This window comes from Homo sapiens, chromosome 14 (genome assembly GCF_000001405.40).
Source record: "Homo sapiens chromosome 14, GRCh38.p14 Primary Assembly".
NCBI lineage: Eukaryota > Metazoa > Chordata > Mammalia > Primates > Hominidae > Homo > Homo sapiens.
Genome location: NC_000014.9, coordinates 101424556 through 101450409, shown reverse-complemented (window position 1 = coordinate 101450409; position 25854 = coordinate 101424556). Strand labels below are relative to the sequence as shown.

The window sequence follows — 25854 nt, the reverse complement described above, 5'->3', positions numbered from 1 at the left end:
AAAGAGAGACGCTGATGGACAGCTTTCCCAATGTTCTGTGCACATGGATGTTGGAATGCCTTCATTTTTAGACCTTTTCGGCTTTCTCTCAGGATGTCTGTATCAGTATTGTCTTTAATTCATTTATTCAAGAAACATTTATTGGCATCTAATAGGCCCAGAGCACTGGCCCAGGTATTAGGGCACAAAAGGAGGGCGCGGTTTCTGCCATCACGTCACGGGGCTTACGATCTGCAGAGAAGGACATTTCACAGCAACAATGTGGCCCAGGTGACTGTTTAATGCCTGTTGTTTTAGCAGCTCAGAAGGGAAAAAAAGACCTTCAGCAAACATCCCCGGGAGCCTGCTCTGTACCAGTAACTGTGTGAGGTGCTGGGGAGTGTGTAAGGTGGTCCTCAATGAGTTCGGAGCCAAATTGGGTGAGACAGGCAAGGCCATTTTAGTGTTAACAGTGGTAGATGTCTTGGGGGCACACAAGATGGGAGGATCAATGCTTAATGCATGGGGTATACCAGGAGGAGAGAGGAGCACCAAAAGGCTGAGTATCTCTGGGAAACCGTCGACCCCAATGGGGGCTGGGGTATGGGGCAGGTCGGGGCAGCAGCAAGGGTAGAGGGAGCAGCAGGCACCAGATAGCCAGATTATGCCAGCTGCAGGTGTCTGGCCGAAGATGTTTTCTACTGAATTAAGTTCACATGAAGAGAATATTCTATGATGTTAGGTGTAACTTGGCATCACTTTAAAAATATCTGATTTCTGAAGAATAACCTGGATAGCTGCTTCAGTGTCAGCCTAGCCTCTTGTTGAATAGAGACTGGGAATGTGGAATACCTAGAAGTGGTAGGGACTCTACGCCCCAGACAATCGCGACCCTAGCTTCGGGTTAGAAATGCAACGTGAAATTCACCAAGGGCAAGCAAATGACATGAGTCATGTTGATGCATGTATTTTCCGGGCCATGGTAGTGGGGGCCCTCATGCCCTGAATGCTTGATCACATGGGTGGCTCTATCTGGCTTGCCTGAGCGGCCTCTTGGGATTCCATTTCTGGGACTGTGAGGGAGGAGTGAGCATGCGGATGGCAGGAAGCGTGCAAGCTGCTTCCACCTGTACAGGAGACAGCTGGTCTGCTCTGCTGTGGGGAATCAGGTGACGCCAATTTCTGAGCGTTGTTTTCTGCAAGTGTTATTCCCCCCTCTGGGTGTGGCTAAACCTCCGCTTTGAAGATGTGGATACCAGCAGTGGCTGAAGCAGGTGGCTGCAGACCTCCTGGAAGCCTTCTCTTTCTCAGACCCAGAAAGTTGCCTGTCTAGATAATGAAATCGATTTTGAGGCTCTGTCAAATATCTTTTTTTTTTTTTCAAGAGAGCAACCAGTTAGTAATTAGTTGTTCAATTCAACTGTTTTTTCTGCTTTCTTCAAAAAAAATTTTTTTTAAAAAGTGGTAGACTTTTTTTTTTCTGGGCAAATTCTTAGGATTTAATTGCACTTAAAAATTGTGGAGCCTGTCAGAATAAATTGCACATAGAATAGTCTTACCCAATAAAACTAGTCCTGTGATTGTCACCGTTGTCATGCTTCTCAGATAAAGTTGTGGGAAGGACAATTTAAGTCTGTGTGGTGAACCACACTTCAAATCAGTATTCAGCATGAAGCTCATTGCACTGAAAAACAAATACCCAAGTTTAGCAGCCGTGATGTGTGAGGCATCAGACTGATTTTAAAATAATTCCAAAATTTGCCCCTGAAAAGAGAAGGAGAAATGTCTACCCCATTGGTTTAAAGTTAAGGCAGTGGCATTAAATCTGTAAAAAAAATTTTTTTTTGAAAAGACAAATAGTTTTTATAGCATATTAAAAATAGTAAAGCATAAACAGTATTACTAGCTTCATGCAAAATTGCATCTGCTATTTGGCTCAGTCAAATTGTTGTTTATTCCTGGTAGCAAAGGAGGACGGCTATATGTCAGGAGTAGACATGGCCAATTCTTTGGTTGTTAGAAAAAGGACTACCTTTAGGGTATGAAAACCCCCAGCGCTCTTATTTTTTGCCCTAAGAAACACTTTCATTATTTGTTCCTCTATTTTCGATGTGATTAATCAATTTATTTTCATGGAAAGCAAGTGTTATACCACACACATCTTATCTGTATGATCAGTGTGAGTTCTTGGGGAGAAGAGGGTGCCTACTACTTTTTATTCTCCCTCCCAGAGCTCAACCCTGATGTTGGCCAATGATAAACCTCAGCTAAATGAGTATTGAATCTATGAAGGATGGAAAGTAGTTATTCTATTGTTTGACGCCATTTTTAACTAACTGTGTTATGTCTATCAATTACCATTATACAACTTACATATATATTTTTATATGGTTCCCTAAATACCCTCATGGATAGGGAAAGCACCTCCCTTATAAGAAAGCACTGCCAGGCTTGGTGGTTCATGCCTGTAATCCCAGCACTTTCGGAGGCCGAGGCGGGTGGATCACAAGGTCAAGAGATTGAGACCATCCTGGCCAACATGATGAAACCCCCTCTTTACTAAAAATACAAAAATTAGCTAGGTGTGGTGGTGTGTGCCTGTAGCCCCAGCTACTTGGGAGGCTGAGGTAGGAGAATCGCTTGAACCCAGGAGGCAGAGGTTGCAGTGAGCTGAGATCGCGCCACTGCATTCCAGCCTGGGTGACAGAATGAGACTCTGTCTCAAAAAAAAAAAAAAAAAAGAAAGAAAAAAAAGAAAGTGTCACTTCTACCTTTTGGCATTGTGGAGAAGGCGAGTTGGATTATAGACTGCTGAGTTGTTGAAACTTTTAAGAAGCGAGATGCTCAATGAGAATTCAAGCAGAGCTTAGCAGTTGGGAGTTTGGCTTCCAGAATGGGACTTCGTCAGGTCCAGTGTTGGCTCCTCAGCTTTGTGCTGTGTTGTGCAAATTATTTATTATTACCCCTCAGTTTCCTTATCTGCAGAAGATGTGGACATCTGTGTCTTCACCGTGTAGCTATTGGAAGGATTAACCAGATAATCCAGGTAACATACTTAGCACACTGCCTGCTGCTTAGCAATCAATAGTTAATAAGAAAACAGGATTTAACAAAAACAAAATTAGAAAAATTAAGCTGGTTGAATATATTTTTTCAAAGGGCGTATTAAGAGTATTAGTATGTTTATGTATGCATAATAATTAATGTGTTGATTATATACATTCTCCTTATCTGAATCCTTAAGAAATTTGAAAATTTATTGCCCATGGAAGTTATTAGTTTATTAGTATGATGTGTAGATACACACACATATATATTCAGATATGTGTGTGTATGCACACACATGCAAGCACACACCTGTATCTGGCCAGTTTGTACATTTTGCAAGCTGTCAAATAACAGCAGAGGGCTGGTATCAGCCCTACACCTGCTCCGGAGCTGCAAGGATCCCTCTAGCCAACCTTAGCTTGGACTCTTTCACTTAGAAAAGAGGACCACAGACACTGCTGTTGAAATGGAAAATCCTGGTGTGTTAGTCTGAGTCAGAAGCGCAGGGCGCAGTGGAGGACAGGCTCACAGGCTGTTCCCTTGTGGCACCACAGGCTCTGCTGGCCTCAGAGGCCACTGGGGTTGTGGGCCTCTTCCTCTTGGTGGGAATGGACAGCTCTAGCCCCAGGCCAGCCAAATCCTCAAGTTCCCCTGGCAGGTGCTGTTTTGGTGCCAGGCTGGTCGCTGCAGAGGGAGGCATGAGCAAGGTGGAGGGGTAGGAACGGGGATCACAGATGGCTTCCAAGCAGACCTGGCTCTGTCTTTGGCCTTAGAACCTTCCAGAGCCTCCCAATCCTGCTGTGTGAAGGTGAGCTTGTGTTGCCAGGATTAGCTGTAGGAACGGGCTATCCCCATTTACAAGCAGGCGAGGCGATAGATGTGGTAACACCTGTCCCGGCCGACAAGGAGGCAGTTGCACTCTGCAGCAGTTTACTTTGATAAATGCTCGAGGCAGATAAAATGATAGAATGTCTGATATAAGTCAGTGGTAATGTGAATCAACATATTTTGTCCAGTTCTGCCTTGTACAGATCTGTTTTGCTAAGATGTCGTTTTCACAAAGTGATATTTTTCCACCTCGCGGTTATCTTTGTGTTAGAAAGGAGCGGAAGCCAACTTAAACTATGAGTTGTTTGTCTGCATAAAGGTCCTCCCAAACTCTCCTAGTAAATCAGGGCCTGAGAATTGTTTTAAAAATCCAGAAGATTCTCAGTTTATTCTGGATAACTGAGCTAGATAATATTGTAAATGTTGACAGATGTTACTTATCAACACTTGAATTGGCCAAGTATTAAAATATCCTACATATTTAATATTAAAAAAAGTGAATAAAATATACTATTTTTAAGCTACAAAATTAGGTTCAGATATGTCTACTAAAAACCCATCTGATGACATATTTAAGGTTACTTGGTAAAAAAATGTTTAGGACTGGGTCCACAAACAAAACCAGTTACATGTAAAACATTGTTAATTATCGGTTGTTTGACTTAATCTGGGTGACATTTAAAACTGGCTTGTGTGTGTAGACAGAGTCTAAATGTGAATCTTGTTTATTAAAAGACAACCTTTTTGATTAAAGCTCTGAGTAAGGATTATGTAAGACATTATTATAAAATGGATTAAAACTGCTTAACTGTTTTCCTCAAAGAGAACGGCATGATAAACTCTTCTGTAATTCTGTAAGTGTCTCTGATTACTTTGTCTTTAAGCTAAAGGAATTTAATAAGAAGAGCTAGCATTAATTACATGCTGACTGTGTCCAATGCTGGAGGGCTTGGCCTGTGCTTTCTCATTTATTCCAGGTGCCAATCCAGCAAGATAGGTGCTGGTGTTATACCCATTTTACAGATGAGGAAACCGCTGCTCAGTCAGACTTCCTCATCCTGGGTCAAGTGGGAATTCAAAGCAGAGGTCAAACTCGAAGAGCCTGCGTGCTTCATGACATGCAATACCACTCCTCAGTATTCCAGAGGCTTGTGGGGGTGATGGCAGCATCTTATTACATCCCAAACTATACAATAATAAATACAAATGGATGTAAATTAGTACTGCTGGGCAGATGTCACAGTAGCAAGTGTTTTGAATTTCCGCCTGAAGTCTCCTTCTGTAATGGGCAGGCAGCCTGTTAGAGCTGTGGGATTTAGAAATGTTCCCGCAGTTTGAACAGAACCACTGCATGACAATTAGAGGACGTTTCCAAATGGAATTTGTCCTGTGGAATTTTAGGGCAGAACTAATGTTATATTATAAATACAGACTCCACATACAATGTGAACTGCTAACTAACGGCTAATAGGGGAGAGCTAAAAACAACTTCAATGTTAAAAAAAAATCATTCAGTGCCTATTGAGCTTCTTCTGTGTGCCAGGTGTCGTGATACACAGGGTCCTCTTCCCGGAGTGCCAGGCTTGTCCAGCGGGAGACAGAAGCACATCCAGAGAAAACGAAAATATTTCTAGATGGAGGCGAAGAGAGTTCTAAATGTGAAAGTGATATATAATGAAGGTTTAAAAAAGGAAACATTGGCCGGGCATGGTGGTTCACGCCTGTAATGCCAGCACTTTGGGAGGCCAAGGCGGGCAGATCACCTGAGGTCAGGAGTTCGAGACCAGCCTGGCCAGCATGGTGAAACCCCGTCTGTACTAAAAATACAAAAATTAGCTGGGCATGGTGGCGGGTGCCTATAATCCCAGCCACTCGGGAGGCTGAGGCAGGAGAATCACTTGAACCTGGGAGATGGAGGTTGCAATGAGCCGAGATCGTGCCACTGCACTCCAGCCTGGGCAACAAGAGTGAAACTCCGTCTCAAAAAAAAAAAAAAAAAAAAAAAAAAAAAAAAAAAGGAAACATTTTCAAATAACAGTCTTCTGGCTCATAAGAATACCAGTCGTTTCAAAAGGAACAAGTTAAACTTGGGGAAATACTAGGAATGAATACTGACACTTAACGAAATATTGATTGAGGGTTACAGACTATTGAAGCCGAAATAAGTCCCTAGGGCTTCATTGCCCAATCGCAACCAAGACAGACCAACAGACTTTTGAGTGAGTAACAGCATACCACATTTCTGACATGTGTGTATTTCAACACGTTTGATTTATTGGTTAAGTGAAGTCACCGATGATCAAATATCCTTGATGGGAATCCCCAGCCCTCCCCATTGCCATCTGCATTTAGAGAATCCCAGGAATCCATGTGGGTAGAGGAAGGCGGGCAAAGAATAAGAGACTTTTAGGTCTGAGTTGGTCCATTAGGGAATTAGATGTGTTTGTGCTCATTTTAAGCAGAAGAAATACACTGCTAGAGGAAGAAGAGAATCCCAGCTCGAATCCTGCCCACTGGAGTCCATGGCACAACTTCCAGATGGTGATATTCAGATTCTTTTGATATTTCTCCAGCTAGGGATATGAAATACATACAAGAAAAAAAATCTTATGCCCTGGAGGAAAAATAAGCACATCCTAACTATTGACAATCTCGTGTTTGTATTTAAGGAAATGATCGCCTCCTATTTGAATGTCATGAGATCAGCCATCGGGACCACTAGAGTCTAAACTTGATAAGGCAACGTGAGGATCTGTGGTCCCTTCTGTCCCGCTCACCCAGCATTCCTGGTGCTTCAGACAGGGTCTGGGATGTTACAGGTGCTTAGAACGATGTCATGATCAAGTGACATGATGATTGATAGAGATGACTGTAGAATGGGGGCTATTCGAATGAGAAGTACCTTTTGGGCAGTAAGTTAAAACAATGGGTAGACCCTTGAGGAGTTCATGGTGTCATTTGATGATGCAGTCTTCGTGACCCTTTCCCTAGGGTTTTTTCTTTTTCTTTTCTTTTTTTTTTTTTTTTAACGGAGTCTCGCTCTTGTTGCCCAGGCTGGAATGCAATGGCGCAATCTCGGCTCACTGCAACCTCCGCCTCCCAGGTTTAAGCGATTCTCTTGCCTCAGTCTCCCGAGTAGCTGGGATTACAGGCGCCCGCCACCACGCCCGGCTAATTTTGCATTTTTAGATTCTCCATGTCGGTCAGGCCGGTCTCAAACTCCCGGCCTCAGGTGATCCGCCCGCTTCGGCCTCCCAAAGTACTGGGATTACAGGCGTGAGCCACCACGCCGGGCCTTCCCTAGGTTCTTAAATAACTGAGGAAGAATAACGAAGACCCAGGAAGAGATTCCAAAGAACACATGGCTAATTCACAGATAAGGGAGAAACACAATGTTTAAGAAATTCAGTAGCACCCAACAGCAGACTGAAAACAAGTTGGGAAGTGGACTCTCTCACGGAGCTCAAACACTCAGGCAGCATTTGCATCTCAGAAGTAATTTTTGAGAATTCATTTGAAGAAGGAAGGATTTTCCTTTCCTTTCCTTTCCTTTTACAGGATGGTTCCCCCTAATGAACTGTTTTAAGCGGACGAAAGAATTCATTTGGCACACTCTTGCTTAAAACCCACAGGAAAAAAAGCAAAGTTCTCTTAAGGATGTCAGCTCCAGACTAGAGCAGTCCGTTTGAAAAATCTTGGTTTTGAGAAAGTGGCAGAATTACATAATTATTCACAACTCATAAGACATTAAAATACTTCTTCCAAATATGAAGTTGTGAGATAACAAAAACCACAAATTCTAGACTTGCGGAGGGTGTGTGCATCTTTTACTCTCCCACACACAAACCCACATCAAAGAGTCTGGGTGGCGCTGGGCCGGAACTCGTGGCCGCGCTCGCCTTGGTGCGCCTGGGCCACAGGAGGAGGCTGCTGGGGCCGCTCTGCCGCCGCACCTCCCTGAAGGAGATCCGGGGGCAGTGGGGATGCTAAGGATGCAGCGCCGGAGAGGCAGGTGGCGGCCCCTGCGAAGAGGTGGTCCCCGCAAAGCACACGGAGACCACGAGGTTCCTTGTCGCCCACTCACAGCAATGCTGCACGAGGTGAGGAACGACCTGGAAGAGTCCCAAAGTAAAGGCATCGGGTGATGAGAGGAATCTGGGGGTGGAGAAGTGGTCAGACGAGCCCCAGGGCTCTGTCATTCTGGAAGGGAGCCCCTGCCCTGTCGTTCTGTGTGGGCATAACTTTGAAAATCAGGGCACTTCATTTAACAAGACTCATTTTTAAAAGCTCATGTTACCTGTTGAAAACCCAAGGGAGACTGGCCTTTGGCGGATGGATTAAGCGCCGCTCATTCAGTTCCATTTTACGGAAGGACCTGCCTCAGCCCCGTATGAGGCTGCGGGGATTCCAAAGTAAAGTCAAGGAGATGGGGTTCCTGCCTGCAAGGAGCTTCCCACCTAGCAGGGCCGTCCGGTGGGCAAACTGTGGGCACTGGATGAGCAAATAGTGCATTTTGCTGACGACAGGAGACGCAGGTGGCGGGGGGGTGCCCAGGAGCCCGAGAGGAGGGGTGTGGTGGAGGGCGGGAAAGGAGGGGTGGGGTGGAGGGCAGGAGACGAAGGGTGGGGTGGAGAGCGGGAGAGGAGGCTGAGCCCTGGAGCGTGGAGTGGGCATGGGCCAGGGACACCGAGAGAGCAGCCTGCGCAGAGACGATGGGGCAGCAGACAGGCCTGTGTGTCTGAGGAGGGGAGCCTCCAATGGAGAAGGCTGAGGAGTGGGTGCAGGCAGGAGACTGTTGAGACTGGCCGTGGGGAACCGCAGATGGGCGTCAGCTGGGGAAGACAGTCTAGCCGCACTGGAGAGGCAGGACTGTGGGGTCAGACGAGGGTGGGGCTGGCCTTCTGGGAGAACCCCAGAGGCTCAGCAAGAGGTACCACAGGGCTTGAGCTGTTGAGACGGAGAGAAATGCTGAGGATGTGGCCCGGACAGGGCCCAGAGGGACCCGGGCCTCCCTGCATAGGTGCTTGGCAGTGCCCTCTCAGTGGTGGTATCAACTCCTGGGCGAAGGCGAGAAGATGGCTGGTGAATACAGCCTGCAGGCAGGCAGCATATTTAATAAGATTAGGACTTGGGAGAAAAGTCCTGGGCTTGTAGGTGGGAGCTGAGGCCACCGCAGGGTGGGCGTTCCTGGACAGTGGGTATTTAGAGAGCAGAAGAGACCGCAGGAACAGCCCGAGATGACCCAGCCTCTAGAGGTGGGCTCAGGAGGTGGGGGAGGAGCAGCCGGGAGGGTGGGAGAAGCCCCCATGGGGAGCGGCACCACCACAAGACTGAGGCAGTGGTGGGAAGGCCACGGAGACCTCCCAGAAGAAAGGGCTGAAAAGTCTGTGGAATCCTCTGAGTCAGAAGGTCCTGGGAACCATTGCCCAAGCAATTCCTGAAGGCAGAAAGAAGCCTCATTGCATCGGGCTAAAATGAATGGAGCTGGAGGAGCGGGGATCTTGGAGGACCGAGTCTGTGGCTGACTCATTTCAGGGTCCACTGTAGTGCTTGGCACACAGTGAGTGCCCAATCCATACCTTCTAATTAGAAATATTTCCCTCTATTTCCACAGACCTCCATTAGCAATGCCCTTTCAGCAGTGTTAGCTTATTTAACATTTATAAAAGCATGTATCCTCGAAACAGGAGACAGGCTCATGAACTTGACCAAGGAAGAGCAAGTGATCAACTGCAGACCCATCCAATTGGTGTTTTTCCATTTTTCTCGTTGGTTGTCATAGCCTCCCCTGCCGAAGGCATCTTATCTTTGCTTGCATGTTAACTGCCTAAGGCACAGAGTTCAAAAAGCAATTTCCATCTCATGCTTTGAATACCTTCCATGTGCCAGAACCATGAGGGTCACGGGGCTGCTGCCCTTCGGGATCTCACAGTCTAGTGTTTTTGCTTAGCATGGTGGAAATTGGATAAAATCAAATTCTCTGAAAAAATCATACTTTAAAAGGAGGTACGGCCCAAGGAGCATCAACAGCACCCCATTTGTATGTGGAACCCCTTGAAGGGACCAGATAATCAAGAGAACTGTGTGACAAGAAAACAATGGCTGCAAGAATAAGGGCACTGTCCTTAATAAAGCTCACCTCTGGAGAATTAACTAGCCTTATGCCAGAGTAGCTCTGACAGTGAAGGGGTTAAAATAACAAATAAATGACTTTATTTAGATTTCAGCATTTCTGGCATTTTTTTTCTAGCTTTTTTTTTTTTTTTTTTTTGCCAGAGTATTTGATGTGACAGGTTTTGTTTGCTCACACTTGTCTCTCTTTTAAAATTCTCATATCAGCAGTAAAAGCTATTTCTTTTTCCTGTAACATCTTGAGCTTGGTATCCAATGATGGGAGAAATGGCTCTTGCGTTCCTTGAAATTATAATATTATGCCTAATTTTGGGGGAGAAAAATTAGGGTAATTTAGATCTGGAGCCGCTGAAGCCTGCAGGCAGGTCAGTTGCAGCATTATTGCTGATTAGTTATCTAAAAAGTGTTTTCGCCCAAGGGCAGGCTCTGCCATTTCTGGCATTCTATAGAAAGGCTGATGTCGAGGCCTGTCTGGTCAAGGAAACGATGGTCATCACCCATTTTCGAGGTGGCAGTCTGGGCTCAGTGGGCTCTGGTTAGGGAGTGGAGAGCCTCAGACCATCCCCCGATTCACTGTTAGGGAGCAAGTGAACGAGTGGGGGCAGAGCAAGCATGCTGTCCTGGCTCTCTTCATTAAGCCGCCTATCACTATCAAAAGCCTCACTGTCATCCTTGGTACCACTGGAACTCTGAACGCACAAGTGCTCTTGCAAAGGATGCCTCTTTGAAGCAGGCGATTGGCTTCAGGCACCGATGATCTGGAAATCATTGGTGCAAGTGGAAAGGTTACAGAGGGAAGTCTGTCTTTTCTTGACTCTGCGAGATCATGTATAGACTATAAACAAACCAGAATGTGTTGCTAATCATTTTAAAAGCAAGTTTGAAGTTTACTTATAGGAGTGAGACTCTGCTGTCTTTTCTAGTTTCCTTCACTTTCCTCAGGCCTCTTTGGGTCCCTTCTGGTCCCCGCAAGGGTGCTACCTCTTTAGCCACTGATTTCCAGGTGAGCATACACGTCCTTTGTGTGCGTGGCTGGTGGGAGCTCTTTGCTCCTTACATCTTTTGGTGTGGCTGGGTGAAAGGCATTCTGCAGCTTTCTGAGTGGAGGGGCCAACTAGTCTCAACTGGCTGGTATTTTCTAAACTTCTCTGTGTATAACCCTGAGAGCACTGTATTACCACTCTAAAGAGGGAGACTGGAGAGCCAAATGCCAGTGGAATTCTGTAATGTGGGCTGCAGTGTAAACTGTGGTAGGGTTGAACTAAGGACTGTTCTAGAAAAACCTGTAAGTAATTAAGTTCTCCCTCCAGCAAGGTAAAAGCTGAGTCTGAAGTATATTAGTACAAAAAAAAAAGAGTGAAACCTTTGTTGGTGGTTATATATTTTTTCTCGTTTTTAATGTAAATAAATAAAGAATTCTGGCAAGACAAAAAATCTCATATCTCCTTACTGACCTAAGGAGAGAAAAACAAAAGATGTAGCCATTGTTGGCTGCATGTTTTAAATGGCTGAGGTCAGGATGAAACTTACATTACCCTGTTTCAGCAATTCCCAAACCATGTTCTGGGGAATATAAGAAAGTTCTTGGGGAGGGTTGGGGAGGAGAGAGGAAGATTTTGTAGACAACTGTATTTCAGAAACCTTGCATATTATATTTTCTCCTTTGGAGATTCTCAGTGCATTTTAGTGTATTAAAAAAAATGCAGTGTGCCTTTGATTAACCGAGCATTTTCTCATCCACTGTGACCACAGAATCCTTTTGCACAGGGCGCCTGCTCACATCTTATGGGAATGACTGCTTACTTGGTCCACAATGGAAACACCATCACTAGCAATTCTTCTACCTGCCAGCCTCACTGTCTTTCTCTGAGCTGGCTTCCTAACACTTTATTTGAATCTATGTTGTTATGCAGTCCATTGTGATGTGTGTATCAAACTTCCAAGATAGACTGCCTTTGTATATCTTTTTCTTGCATTGTTTCACTTGTTATAATAAGATCAAATTATTTTTTGAATTGGAGAATACAAGTCAATAAATATTTTTAAAAATTAAAAAATAAAGTAGCTGAAATAAGAAGAAATAATTTTTTTTGCAAATTGCTTGGCCTATGGAGGCATTCATCAAAGATTCCTTTTTCTGTTGTGACCCATTTCACGGTCGCCGTTTTGTGGCCTGGTGAAGCCTACAGACCCTTTCTCAGACTAATGTTTTTAAATGAATGAAGTACCAAGAGTCACAAAGGAAACCTGTTCTATTGAAATAAGGTGACAATATATCAAAAGCCACATTTGTGATGTATATTCATATGTGCTTCTTTATTAATATCTTAAATAAGATCGAGTGGTATAAATCTAACAACTACCACGATTTCGGAGTAGTGATGAGTGCGAGTGATATTTCGAGATACCTGCAACAGCTTTAATGTGTGAAAACATTTGTGATTTCTATTGACAGCAAAGTCACAGGAACAGCAAATACCACTGAGGTTTCTTGCCTACGTTTATAATTGAAGCAAGTGTTCTAAATGTCTGTTAGAAAGTATTGAAAATAAAGGTAGAAATTTTTTTCCCATTCAAGTTTACAAACCACCTTGAGGCATATGGTATCTACTAACAGGTCAAAGTTAAGTTTGCTTCATTTGGGGAATGTGAGTTGATAATTTATAAAGTCAAATCTTGGTGTGTAAGGGGACAGGGCAGGGAAGCTTGGGGACTGCTCAGGAGTTAGGCTGGCCAGCGGGGTAAGCCTAACTTGAGATGGCCAGCCAAGGTCAGCAGGATGGAAGGTAGTTGGTACCTTGTGCCCACCCCACCGGAGCCCACCAGAGCCCACCGGAACCCACCAGATCCCACTTGAGCCCACCGGATCCCTACAGCCGTGCATTCAGTGGTAACCAATGCACAGTGCCCCACGCTGTTTTTTACAGATTCTAAGTTTTAAAAATTTTTCTGCTTTTATCCATGTATTCTCATTTTTGGGGGAATACATTTGTAGCCTCTCTTGGCAGTCGTTTTCTGGAGGATTACTTTGAGCTAATCTTTGGTCATTTCTGGCTCCCTTGAAGTTGTCAATCCACAGGGTTTTTGCAGGAGCCCAAGGATTTGGGTAAACACACTCGCAACAGCACCTTTGTATCCATTCCTCTTTCTGCCGGGGCCCTTTTGAGGGATTCGGCATTTGTGAGGGAGGATCGGGTCATTTGCCACAAAGTCTAACAAATTGGAAAGTCCAAAGACCCAGAGCTAAAGATCCAGGCCCTTCCAACTGTTTCTTGGATATTCTCATAACCAGCTCATCACTTAGTTAATTCATCAAGTCACCTTGCTAGAAGCTGCAGGGCAGTGCTTCTCAAACTGTACATCACAACACATTAGTAGGTTAATTGAAGTAATTTAGTGAGTTGTGACCAAAATTTAAACAATGAAATAGAAAACAATAAAAAACATTACTAGTAAAGGTAAATATTCTTTTTTTCTGTTTTTTCTAGATGGAGTCTTGCTCTGTTGTCAGGCTGGAGTGCAGCGGCCACTGTTACCTCCGCCTCCCGGGTTCACGCGATTCTCCTGCCTCAGCCTCCCAAGTAGCTGGGACTACAGGTGCGTGCCACCATGCCCAGCTAATTTTTGTATTTTTAGTAGAGATGGGGTTTCATCATGTTGGCCAGGATGGTCTCGATCTCCTGACCTTGTGATCCACCCGCCTCGGCCTCCCAAAGTGCTGGGATTACAGGTGTGAGCCACCGTGCCCGGCCTAAAGGTAAATATTCTATCATGAAATGTATGTCTCAGATGTGTTCACACACACACAGAAGCATGTGTGTACTAGATTACGATGTTTTGTATATTCAGTTCTTATTTTGGGTCATTATCAAAAAACTGGAAAATCCCTGCTGCGGAGACTATTCAGCAAACACTAAATTTTAGAGTCTCCTATGGTTAATGTTGGGGTTGAGTGGAGTAGCTGACACATTAACTGAATATGTATGAGAAGCTAACAGCACAGGGGCAGCTGTGTGGCTGTTTGACATCTGGCGGAGCACCTGTCGCAGGTGAGATGCCATGCCACACGGTGCAGAGGGTAAACCCAGGCTCACAGGTCCATGGGAATATTCGTGTCTGGAGGTCAGAGCTGGGTTTTGTTGTGTTCCCTGCTTGCAGGACAGAAGGAAGTCTCTCATGGACACCTTTTAGAGGCTGGAATGTGATGGGGTCAATCTTTGAATTTCACAGGCCATGTGAAGGGGCCTCATGTTATCTTAAGCACAGGGGAGGCCACCCAAAGGCATTAAACAGGGAAGTGACATGATGAACCTTGTGCTTTCGGAAAATGTCCCCCAGGATGCTCTGTGAAGCATGAACTGAAGGGCAGCCAGACCAGAGGCAGGAGTGCCCTGGGAGTTTTGCAGAAATCCAGGTGGCAGTTGATCCGGGTGGGCTGGGTGGCAACAGCGAGGCAGGAGACAGGTAAATATGGATCTAGAAGAGACTTAGGAGGTAGAAACTAGAGTACGGGTGGCAAACTTTTTCTATAAGGCGCCAGATGGTAAATAGTTTGGACTTTGTGGGCTACACTGTCTCTGTTGCATGAACTCAGCTCTGCCACTGTGGTGTGGAAGGGACCACAGGCAAAACAGAAATGAATGGGCACGGCTGTGTTCTGATAAAACTTTATTTGCAAAAGCAAGCAGTGAGCCGGATTTCTACGGTTGTAGTTTTCAGACCCTGGGTCTCAACCAGTGGTGATTCTGCTCCCCGCAGGACATTTGGCAGTGTCTGGAGATGTTTTTGTGTCACCACTCAAGGAGCGGGTGCTACTTGCGTATAGTGGGTAGAAGCCAGGAATACTGATAAACACCTTGCAGGGCACAGGACAGCTCCTGATGCCAACAGGGGCACAGAATCATCTATGGATGTGGTGAGTGTTTGAGTGTTAGTCAATCGTGAAATGAGGTTCAGGGTTTTGCTGGCACTGATGTTACCTTTCCTTTGCAGATAGAATATATATGGTATAAAAATAATAAAATTTAAATTAAACTTACTTTAATAACTAACAACGTAAGCAGGATCGGCTCACCTTAATAACTTGAAAAACATTTCTTTTTAGTACCTTTAGATAGATACATGTTTATAGGCAGTTACTTAGGTTTTTTCCAGATATGAATATTTTATTAAGAGCATATGTGCCCCACACATTCAGAAAACGTAAAATGCAATCGTGCCATTCCGAGAGAGCCTCTGTGGTTTCCTCAAGCCTTCTCCAGAGACCTCAGATTTCCAGCCACACAGGACTGTTGCAGTGGTCAGGCTCTTCAGCGAGAAGAGACCAGGGCTCCCCCAGATGCTGGAGTCTCTGTAGTCTTATTCCAACTCTGGTTTGGTCAGTTTCATGCTAGTGCTGGCAATCTCTGCTGGAATGGTGGCATTTGATTGCCTGAGTTGACTAGTTCTCTTGGGCTGTTTATGCAGCATCATCCTGGCTCTCGGCTGTCTCTGAGGAAGCCTTAAGAAAGGGGTCATCAGGCTGGGCACGGTGGCTCACGCCTGTAATCCCAGCACTTTGGGAGGCCGAGGCGGGAGGATCACGAGGTCAAGAGATCGAGACCATCCTGGCCAACATGGTGAAACCCCGTCTCTACTAAAAATACAAAAATTAGATGGGCGTGGTGGTGGACGCCTGTAATTCCAGCTACTCGGGAGACTGAGTCAGGAGAATTGCTTGAACCCGGGAGGCAGAGGTTGCAGTGAGCCGAGATCGTGCCACTGCACTCCAGCCTGGTGTCAGAGTGAGACTCTGTCTGAAAAAAAAAAAAAAAAAAAAAAAAAAAAAGGGATCATCAGCTGAATTGGATGCGTGCCTCACCAGTACTCCATCCAGGTAGGGGTCCAGGGAGGTAGCAACACTAGAGTTCTTATCCCTTCTCCAGTTTTCAAACACAAGTTTAGGGAGCTGTAAGAATCACTTATATGTCCATCTCTCCCTGTCTAAATGGCCATGGGGAACTGGGGTGGAGTGTGCAATCTCTTCTCTCAGGTCCTCTCTACCACTAGACTCAAATGACTTTTCTTTCATTTCCTAAATGTTTTTGGAATGAAAAACTCTGTTCCTTTTGCAACATTGTCAAGTTATTTGAAAGTTTCATCATAAGATTCAATATATAAGTCTTGACATTATAATATTGACTTTTAAAAAGAGTTGTTACATAACACAATTAAATTGACTACTTAAATGAAACGATACCTAATGTCAATAATTTTAGAAATATATACGTCTCTTTCTAATTCTCAAATTTTTATTTTTCCCCTTATATTTCTTTTCAACATATCCCATAGATTTTTTTAAAAATGAAACTTGTGGCTGGGCACGGTGGCTCACACCTGTAATCCCAGCACTTTGGGAGGCCGAGGCAGGCAGAACACGAGGTCAGGAGTTCGAGACCAGCCTGGCCAACATGATGAAACCCCGTCTTCACTAAAAATAAAAAAATTAGCCCGGCGTGGTGGTGGGTGCCTGTAATCCCAGCTACTTGGGAGGCTGAGGCAGGAGAATCATTTGAACCTGGGAGGTGGAGGTTGCAGTGACCCAAGATCGTACCACAGCATTCCAGCCTGGGTGACAGAACAAGACTCCACCTCAAAAAAAAAAAAAAAAAAAAAAAAGAAAAGAAACTTGCATTTTAGAATAGTTTTAGATTTACAGAAAATTTTCAAAAATAGCACAGAGTTCCCATCTACCCCCACCCAGTTTCCCCTAAGATTAACATCTCACAATAGTATGGCATACTCATCACAATTAATGCACCAATATGAGCACATTATTTAAACTAAAGTCCATACTTTATTCCTGTTGTTTTAGTTTTCTCTCTTTAGGATCCAGGACACCATGTTATGTTCAGTCATCATGTCTCTCTCAGCTTCTCTTGGCTTTGACAATTTCTCTGACTTCCCTTATTTTTGAGGACCCTGACAGTTTTGAGGAGTCCTGGGCAGGTAGTTTGTGGAATATCCCACAGATCGGATTTGTCTGATGTTTTTCTTGTGATTATATGGGCTTACGGGTTTTGGAAGGAAGACTACAGAGATAAAATCCATTCTCATCACATCCCACCCAAGGGTGCCCACCATCAACATGGCTTATCACCATTAATGTTGACCTTCATCACCAGACGGACGTAGTGTTTGTCAGCCTTCTTCTCTGGACAGTCACTCATTACCCCTTTCCAATGCCATCATCTTTGGATGGAAGTCTCTAGGCACAGCTCCCACGTGAGCAGGGAGCTAGGCTCTGTCTCCTAGCTGGCAGAGAATCTACATAAAGTATTTGGAGTTGTTCTGCATGGGAGACTCAGCTCTTCTGTCCTCCTTTAGTTATTTACTCAATCATCTATTTCTATCAGGATAGACTCATGGATATTTATCTTATGCTTTGGGCTGTAAGCCAATACTGTGTTATTTGTTTTGTTGCTCCAATTGTTCTAGCTCCCACCATTGGGATCGTGTTCAGCTGAATGAAGACACTACATATCAGAATTTGTAGGATGCTGCTAGAGGAACACTTAAGCGGAATTTTGTTGCATGAAATGCCTATATTAAGAAAAAAGAAAGATCTCGCTTTCCACATTAACAAATATAAAAAGGAAGGGCAAAGTAAACTCAAAGTAAGTAGAAGAAAGGAAATAAAAAAGACCAGAGTGGCTGTCAATGAAAAAATAAAAACAGACAATAGAGAAAACAAATGAACCCAAAACCTGGTTCTTTAAATAAATCAATAAAATTGATAAAACTCTATACAGATTGATCAGGAAAAAAGAAGAAACAAATTACAGTATCAAAAATGAGAAAGGGCCGGGAGCAGTGGCTCAAGCCTGTATCCCAGCACTTTGGGAGGCTTCGGAGGGAGGATTGCTAAAGCCCAGGAGTCCAAGACCAGCCTGGGCAACACAGTCTCTGCAAAATCCAGTCTCTACAAAAAAATTAAAAATAAAGAATTAGCCAGGTGTGGTGGCCTGTGCCTATACTCTCAGCTACTCAGGGGGCTAAGGCAGGAGGATTGCTTGAGACTAGGAGGTTGAGCCTGCAGCGAGCTATGATTGCACTACAGCACTCCAGCTTGGGTGACAGAGTGAGAACCTGTTTCCAAAAAAAAAAAAAAAAAAAAAAAAAAAAAGTGAGAAAGGTGATATCACTATAGCTTGTCCAGTTATTTATAATACAATAAGGGAATGATATGAAAAATTTTATGCCAATAAATTTGCAACTTAGATGAAATGGACAAATACCTTGAAAGATACAAATCATCAATGCTTACCAATTAAAAGTTAAATAACCTGAATAACACTATGTCTACTGTAGAAATGGAATTTGTTGTTAAAGACTTTCCCACAGTGAGATGTCAAGCCAAATGGCTATACAGGTGAATTCTACCAAACATCTAAGGGAGAAATAATACTTGTTCTCTACAAACATTTTTTAAAAATTGAAGAGGAAGGAACCTTTCCCAACTCACTCTGTGAGGCTAGTACTATCCTAATACCAAAATAAGACAAAGACATTGTAAGAAAAGGGAATCACAGAAAGTGTCCTTTATAAACGTGGATACAAAAATGCTAAATGAAATTTTAGCAAATTGAATGAAACAATATGCAAAAACGATAGCACATTATGACCACGTGTGGTTTGTCAGGAATGCAATGTTGACTTTACATTGGAAAATCAATCTACATTGTATAGTAGATACACTATACATATGTGTATAGTAGATACACATATACACACTATATGAACAAACTGAGAAAGAAAAACCAAGTGGTCATTTCAATAGACACCCTCCTTCTCTTTACCCAAAAACATATTTAGCAAAATCCAATATCCATTTCTAAAAACAACTCTCAGCAAACTAGGAATCGAGGGGATTTCCTCAGTGTGATATTGGGCATCTACATAAATTCTTTAGCTTGTGTCAAAGACTGAATGTTTTTACTCTAAGGTCAAGAGCAAGACACAGATATGTTCTCTTCCTATTTCTATTCATTATCATACCAGAGATCCTAGCCAAGACAATCAGGCAAGAAAAAGAAACGAAAGACAACTTGATAGGAAAAGAAGAAGTAAAACTGACCTTATGAACAAATGATGTGGTTGTCTTGAAAAATTATATGAATCTACAATAAAAGCTACCAGAACAAATAGCTTAGCAAGGTTGCATTATACAAAATCAAAACACAGCTATCAATTGCATTTCTATATATTAAGAATAAAAAAGATCATAAATTGAAATTCAGGAATATCATTTATAACAGCATCCAAAATATAAAATATGTAAGGATAAATTTGGCAGAAGATGTGCAAGTTGTATGCACTGAAACATACAAAACATTGAGGAGATAAATCAAAGAAGACGTCAAGTGGAGAAGACATACAGTATGTCTATGGATCTGAAGCGTTCTTACTATTCACATGTCAGTTCTCCCAAAGCTGCTATATGGATTTAACACAATCCTCATCAAAATCCGAGCAAGTATTTTTTTTTTTTTTTTTTTTGTAGCACTCGACAGACTGATTCTAAAATTCCTTTGGAACTATAAAGGACCTAAAATAGCCAAAACAACTTTAAAAATGATTAGCATTACTTGATTTCAACACCTATCATAGACTGATGGTAATCAACCCTGTGCAGTATTGGCTTAAAATATACAAATATATCAGTGGAACAGAATAAAGTTCAGAAACAAACCCACACTTATACAGACAACTCCCCAAGGCAATGGAGGAAGAATATTCTTTTCAACAGTTTGTGCTGGGACTTTTGATCTAAGCATATAAAAAACATTAATTCAAAATGGACCCTAGTCCAAAATATAAAATCTAAAGCTGTAGAACTTATAGAAGAAAACCTTTATGACTTGGGTTAGACAAATATTTCTTAGTTAGAACAACCATAATATGATCCATAAAATAACAAATTGATAAATTGAACTTTATCAAAATTAAAAACTTCTGCTCTTCAAAAGATATTCTTAGGAAAATGACAAGGCTGGAGAAAATATTTATAAATTATGTATCTGATAAAGACTTGTATCCAGAATGTATAAAGAACTCTAAATCTCAATGATAAAAAATTTAATTAAAAATTAGGCAAACCATATGTAGAAAACTGAAACTGGACCTCTTTCTTACATCTTATACAAAAATTAACTCAAGATGGATTAAAGACTTAAATGTAAAACCCCAAACCATAAAAACCCTAGAAGAAAACCTAGGCAATACCATTCAGGACATAGGCATGGGTAAAGACTTCATGATGAAAATGCCAAAAGCAATTGCAAAAAATGTGAAAATTGGCAAATGGGACCTAATTAAACTAAAGAGCTTCTGCACAGCAAAAGAAACTAGCATCAGAGTGAACAGGCAACCAACAGAACGGAAGAAAATTTTTGCAATCTACCCATCTGACAAAGGTCTGATATCCAGAATCTACAAGGAACTTACACAAATTTACAAGAAAAAAAAACCCATCAAAAAGTGGGCAAAGATTATAAACAGACACTTCTCAAAAGAAGACATTTATGCAGCTAACAAACAGATGAAAAAAAGCTCAACATCACTGATCATTAGAGAAATGCAAATCAAAACCGCAATGAGATACCATCTCACTCCGGTCAGAATGGTAATTATTAGAAAGCCAAGAAACAATAGATGCTGGTGAAGCTGTGGAGAAATAGGAACGCTTTTAAAACGGTTGGTGGGAATATAAATTAGTTCAACCATCATGGAAGACAGTGTGGCTATTCCTCAAGGATCTATAACCAGAAATACCATTTGACCCAGGAATCCCATTACTGGGTATAAACCCAAAGGGGTATAAATCATTCTACAATAAAGACACATGTGGGCTGGGTGCAGTGGCTCACGCCTGTAATCCCAGCATTTTGGGAGGCCGAGGCAGGCAGATCACGAGGTTAGGAGATCGAGACCATCCTGGCTAACACAATGAAACCCCGTCTCTACTAAAAATACAAAAAATTAGCCGGGTGTGATGGCAGGCGCCTGTAGTCCTAGCTACACGGGAGGCTGAGGCAGGAGAATGGCATGAACCCAGGAGGCAGAGCGTGCAGTGAGCCAAGATCGTGCCACTGCACTCCAGCCTGGGTGACAGAGCGAGACTCCAACTTAAAAAAAAAAAAGACACATGCACATTTATGTTTATTGCAGCACTATTTACAATAGCAAAGACATGGAACCAACCCAAATGCCCAATCAATGATAGACTGGATAAAGAAAATGTGGTACATATACACCATGGAATACTATGCAGCCATAAAAAGGAATGAGATTATGTTCTTTGCAGGGACATGGATGAAGTTGGAAGCCATCATCCTCAGCAAACTAACACAGGAACAGAAAACCAAACAGCATGTTCTCACTCATAAGAGGTAGTTGAACAATATGAACACATGGACACAGGGAGGGGAACATCACACACCGGGGCCTGTTGGGGGATGGGGAGTGAGGGGAGGGAACCCAGATGATGGGTCAATGGGTGCAGCAAACCACATGGCACATGTCTATCTATGTAACAAACCTGCATGTTCTGCACATGTATCCTGGAACTTAAAGTAAAAAAAAAAAAAAGAATTAGGCAAACAATTTGAATAGACACTTCACCAGAGAAGATATATGGATGACAAATAAGGGCAGGAAAAGATGCTCAGTGTCATTAGTTATTAAGGAACTGTAAATTAAAAACATAGTGAGATAGCACTTAAACCAGTTGAAATGGATAAATTAAAGACTGACCATAGCAAGTGTTGGCAAGGATGTGGCTCATCTGAAACTCTGTAGGTGGGCTTGTGAGATGAGTAAGACACTTTGGAAAACAGTGCGAGCCATTCCATTTCATCTAAGAGAAATGATTTGTGTATGATTTATGTATGGACATACATCCATACAAAGACCTGGACACAAATGCTCATTGCAGCTTTATTTGTAATTGCCAATATCTGGAAACAACTCAAATGCCTATTCACAGATGAATAGAATAACTGTGGTATATCCAGACAGTGGAATACTACTACTCGCCAATAAAGAGAAATAGACTATTAACACGTGCTGCAACATAGATGAATCTCGAAATAATTATGCAGAGGGAAAGAAGCCAGACAAATAGAATACATACAATATGAGTTCACTTAGATGACATTCTGGAAAATGCAAAGTAATCTATAAGGACAGCAGATCAATGTTTGCCTGAGGATGATGGAAGAGGGGAGGGGCATGCAAGCATCACAAGTGGGCATGAGACCTTTGTGAAGGAGAGTGAGGAATATTTTTATCATCTTCAGTGTAGCCATGGTCTTGCAGGTTTGTTGTGTGTGTGTGTCTGTGTGTGCGTGTGGAAAAAACACTTAAATAAGCATATAGTACACTTAAATATATGCAGTTTATCATGTATTTATTTTAGGTGAATACAGTTGAAAATTCAAAAAGCACCTCTCAAATAATGTGATCAGCAAAATCGTTTCCCCCTAGCTTTCCACGATGCCCCCCAACCTTCACTGAGAACACTGGTTGAGAGTATTGAGAGAATCATCATTGAGGGTTTACTTATTCATCCTTTATCCTCATCATATTGGCCAGGTCCCGAGAGACATGGTCCCCCCAAAACTCCATGCTGTGGTTTGAGCTTATTGCCCATCCCAGTGGCAGCCAGGTTAACTGTTAAGTCCTCAGGCAGTAACATTGGGGTTGCAGTTGTTTTACCCCACAACTAAAGATGATACTGAAGGCTGGTCCTTGGTTTTACTGATGCCGTCTAAAGCCAACCCATCCTGAAGATCTTGGCTTTCTTTCCCACGAATTCCTGCCATCTCTGTAAACCCCTTGACTTTTCTAGGTCTGATTTACTGATGTCCTACATCTCAGCTCTGTTCTGCAGAGAACCAGGAGTGCTTTAAGGCAGGAGGAAGATTGTATTCTGTTGCTAATTTCTTAGTATCTAGCCTAACAAATGCTGTATTGAACTGTTAGTGATTTTAGCACATAGCTAGATACTGTATTGTATTCTTTGCTAATGACTTTGTGTATTTACTCTCTCTCCTTTTCTATATCCTCTCTAGAATAGACTTAACACAGAGGAGGTGACTGATACTTATTGATTAAATAATTTTGAGGGGAGCATAGATAATATATTAATGCCAATAAGTAGCCTTAGAACTTTCCTTCCTATGTTAGGACCCACTTATTAAATATGAATGCCTTAATAATGTGCTTGACTGGACAGAACCATTCTCTCTTGTAAAAAGCAAAAACAAAAAAGCCAATGTCTAGGCCTGTATACACCAGTTACTTCATTCTCCAAACATCTGTTATTTTTATTGGCTGTGGTATGATGTGGTCCAAGTAATACTAATTAATTTACCTACAAACGCAGGACACTAATAGGTATGACTACATATGTTGTTGATTTAGCCTTAAGCACTCCAGTTTTACATAGTATTGATTTTTATGGTAGAATCTGAATCACTAGGATTAGCGTGAATTTCAATTTATTTACCAAATTTAAAAATATTAGAACCAGAGGGGAGAATCTAAAATATTAAGGAGGCAGTTTTATAATATATAAATAGAAGAGCAATTGTATGCAACTTGTGGTACTATTATGCAACTGTTATGTCGAAGAGATAATGCATCCTAAAAATGTGCAATTTCAGAGGTTTAGGTGAACAGAGGAATAATCACTCCACAGCTGGCTAGTAGAAAACCTCAAGAATGTTTGGAGGTGGGGGTAACTTTCTGTTCTCTTGGTGACTGATTCATGGGAAAGCAGGGAAAGACTCAGTAATGGACTGGAGAGATCGCTGGCTTGATATATTGACTGCTTTATAAACTAAATGCATTTTCCCAACTCTTTTTTTTTTTTTTTTGAGAGTCTCGCTCTGTCCCCCAGGCTGGAGTGCACTGGCGCAATCTCAGCTCACTGCAAGCTCTGCCTCCCAGGTTCGCCCCATTCTCCTGCCTCAGCCTCCCGAGTAGCTGGCACTACAGGCGCCCGCCACCATGCCCGGCTAATTTTTTGTATTTTTTTTTTTAGTAGAGACAGGGTTTCATCGTGTTAGCCAGGATGGTCTCGATCTCCTGACCTCGTGATCCGCCCACCTTGGCCTCCCAAAGTGCTGGGATTATAGGTGTGAGCCACCGTGCCCGGCCCCCAACTCTTGATTATACACAAAATTCATGATTATTGGAGTAAAGTGAGAAAATGCTGAAAAGTATAAAGAAATAGATGACTCATTTATGTCTGTGCTCTTTTTAATAAGTATACATTTACTTTTCTAATATTTTGTTATAAAATTTTTAAATATACAGAAATATTGAACTAAATTTTCAGCAAATACTCAGATACCCACACCTAGATTCTTCCATTGACATTTTATTACACTTGTGTCATTATATATTTATTCATCTATCTGTCCCTCTATCCTTCCATCAATTCATCTTTTTTACTGATGCATTTCGGTGTACTTCTCCCTAAACAATTTAGCATGCATATCTAGAGTCCAATCTACCTTTTCCTTTTTATGTAAAATGCCCAAATCTGAAGTGTGCATTCTCTGAGTACGGTGGACATACATTAAGGTGACCCCTGATGATACTCACATCCTGGGTAATCCCTTATAACTTGCTCATAACCAGTAGCAGATGCATATGGCAGAGGTGCTGGGATGTCACTCCTATGGTTATGTTAACATTTTGTAAGACTCCCTTTTGCTGGTAGGCTGGAGCTAGAGACTCCTTGTGGCCTTCATGAAGTAAGTGACCATATTGGAAAAGCCCATGTAGCAAGGAACTGTGTCTTGCCCCCAGAACCTGAGGTTAGCCTCCAACCAACAGCCAGCAAAATGCTGGGGTCCTGGGTCATACAGCTGCAAGGAAATAATTCTCAAAACAACTGTAAGAGTAGGCTCCAGCATGGATTCTCCCCCAGTGGAGCCTTCAGAGGAGAGTGAAGACTTGTGGAATTCTGAGCAGGGAAGCAGCTAAGTCGTACCTGGACTCCTGCTCTAAAGAAGCTATGAGATCATAAATGCATCTATGAGAATTTGTCACACAGCAATAGAAAACTAATACAAGTGTTGATACCTGGAAGTGGGGTGTGGCTGTTAATAAATATCTGAAAACGTTGGGTGGTTTTGAAACTCAGCAGTGGGCAGGGGAGTAGAATAGAGAAAGCTTAAGTCTTCCTGAAAAGACTGATAGTAATAGAAGCCTGGACTTTAAGGACACTGCAGGAGAGGGCTCAGGAGGAAGTGAGGAATGCGTAATGGGAAACTGACAGAAGGGAGAACCTTTGTTAAACAGTGACAGAAAGCTTAGCAACATTGTTGTCTGCAGTTATGTAGAAAGTTGAACTTGTAGGTGATGAACTTGGTTATGTAGCAAAGGAGAGTTCCAAGAAAAGTGTTGAAGGCATCCCAGTCTCTTCTGGCTGTTTACAGTAAAATGTGAGAGGAGAGAAAGATAAATCAAGAGAATTCTTAAACAGAAAGGAACTAGGACTGGATGATTTTGAAAATTTTAAGCCTCTCCAGATGGCAATAGATTCTCAAATTAAGACAGTGTGGTCTAGAGAAAAATTAGAGGGTGTGACTTTGCAACCCTTTGCTAAAATCTGAAAGATCAAAAGGTGAGCATATTTAGTCACAAAAAGGTATCTTTTAAGAGGGCATGCCTCCCAGATCCTCTCAATCAAACCAGAGGACCTCTAGAAGGTCTAAGGGCACTGTCCATCAGCACCTCCATCTTGCTAGCAGACAAGACCAGAGACTTTTGCGAGTTTGGTGAAAAAAGTGGCCTTCTGGGAGAAACCTGGAT

General features: G+C 42.6%; 1 long non-coding RNA gene across 1 annotated transcript; it reads right to left on the bottom strand.

Moving 5' to 3' along the window:
• Nucleotides 1–6094: 6094 nt before the first annotated feature.
• LINC02314 (long intergenic non-protein coding RNA 2314) lies at nt 6095–8334 on the bottom strand. Its single transcript, NR_135240.1, has 2 exons — nt 8153–8334; nt 6095–6428 (listed from the first exon to the last, which is right to left on the bottom strand). It is a non-coding gene; the product is annotated as a long intergenic non-protein coding RNA 2314 (long non-coding RNA).
• Between the last annotated feature and the right edge of the window lie 17520 nt (nt 8335–25854).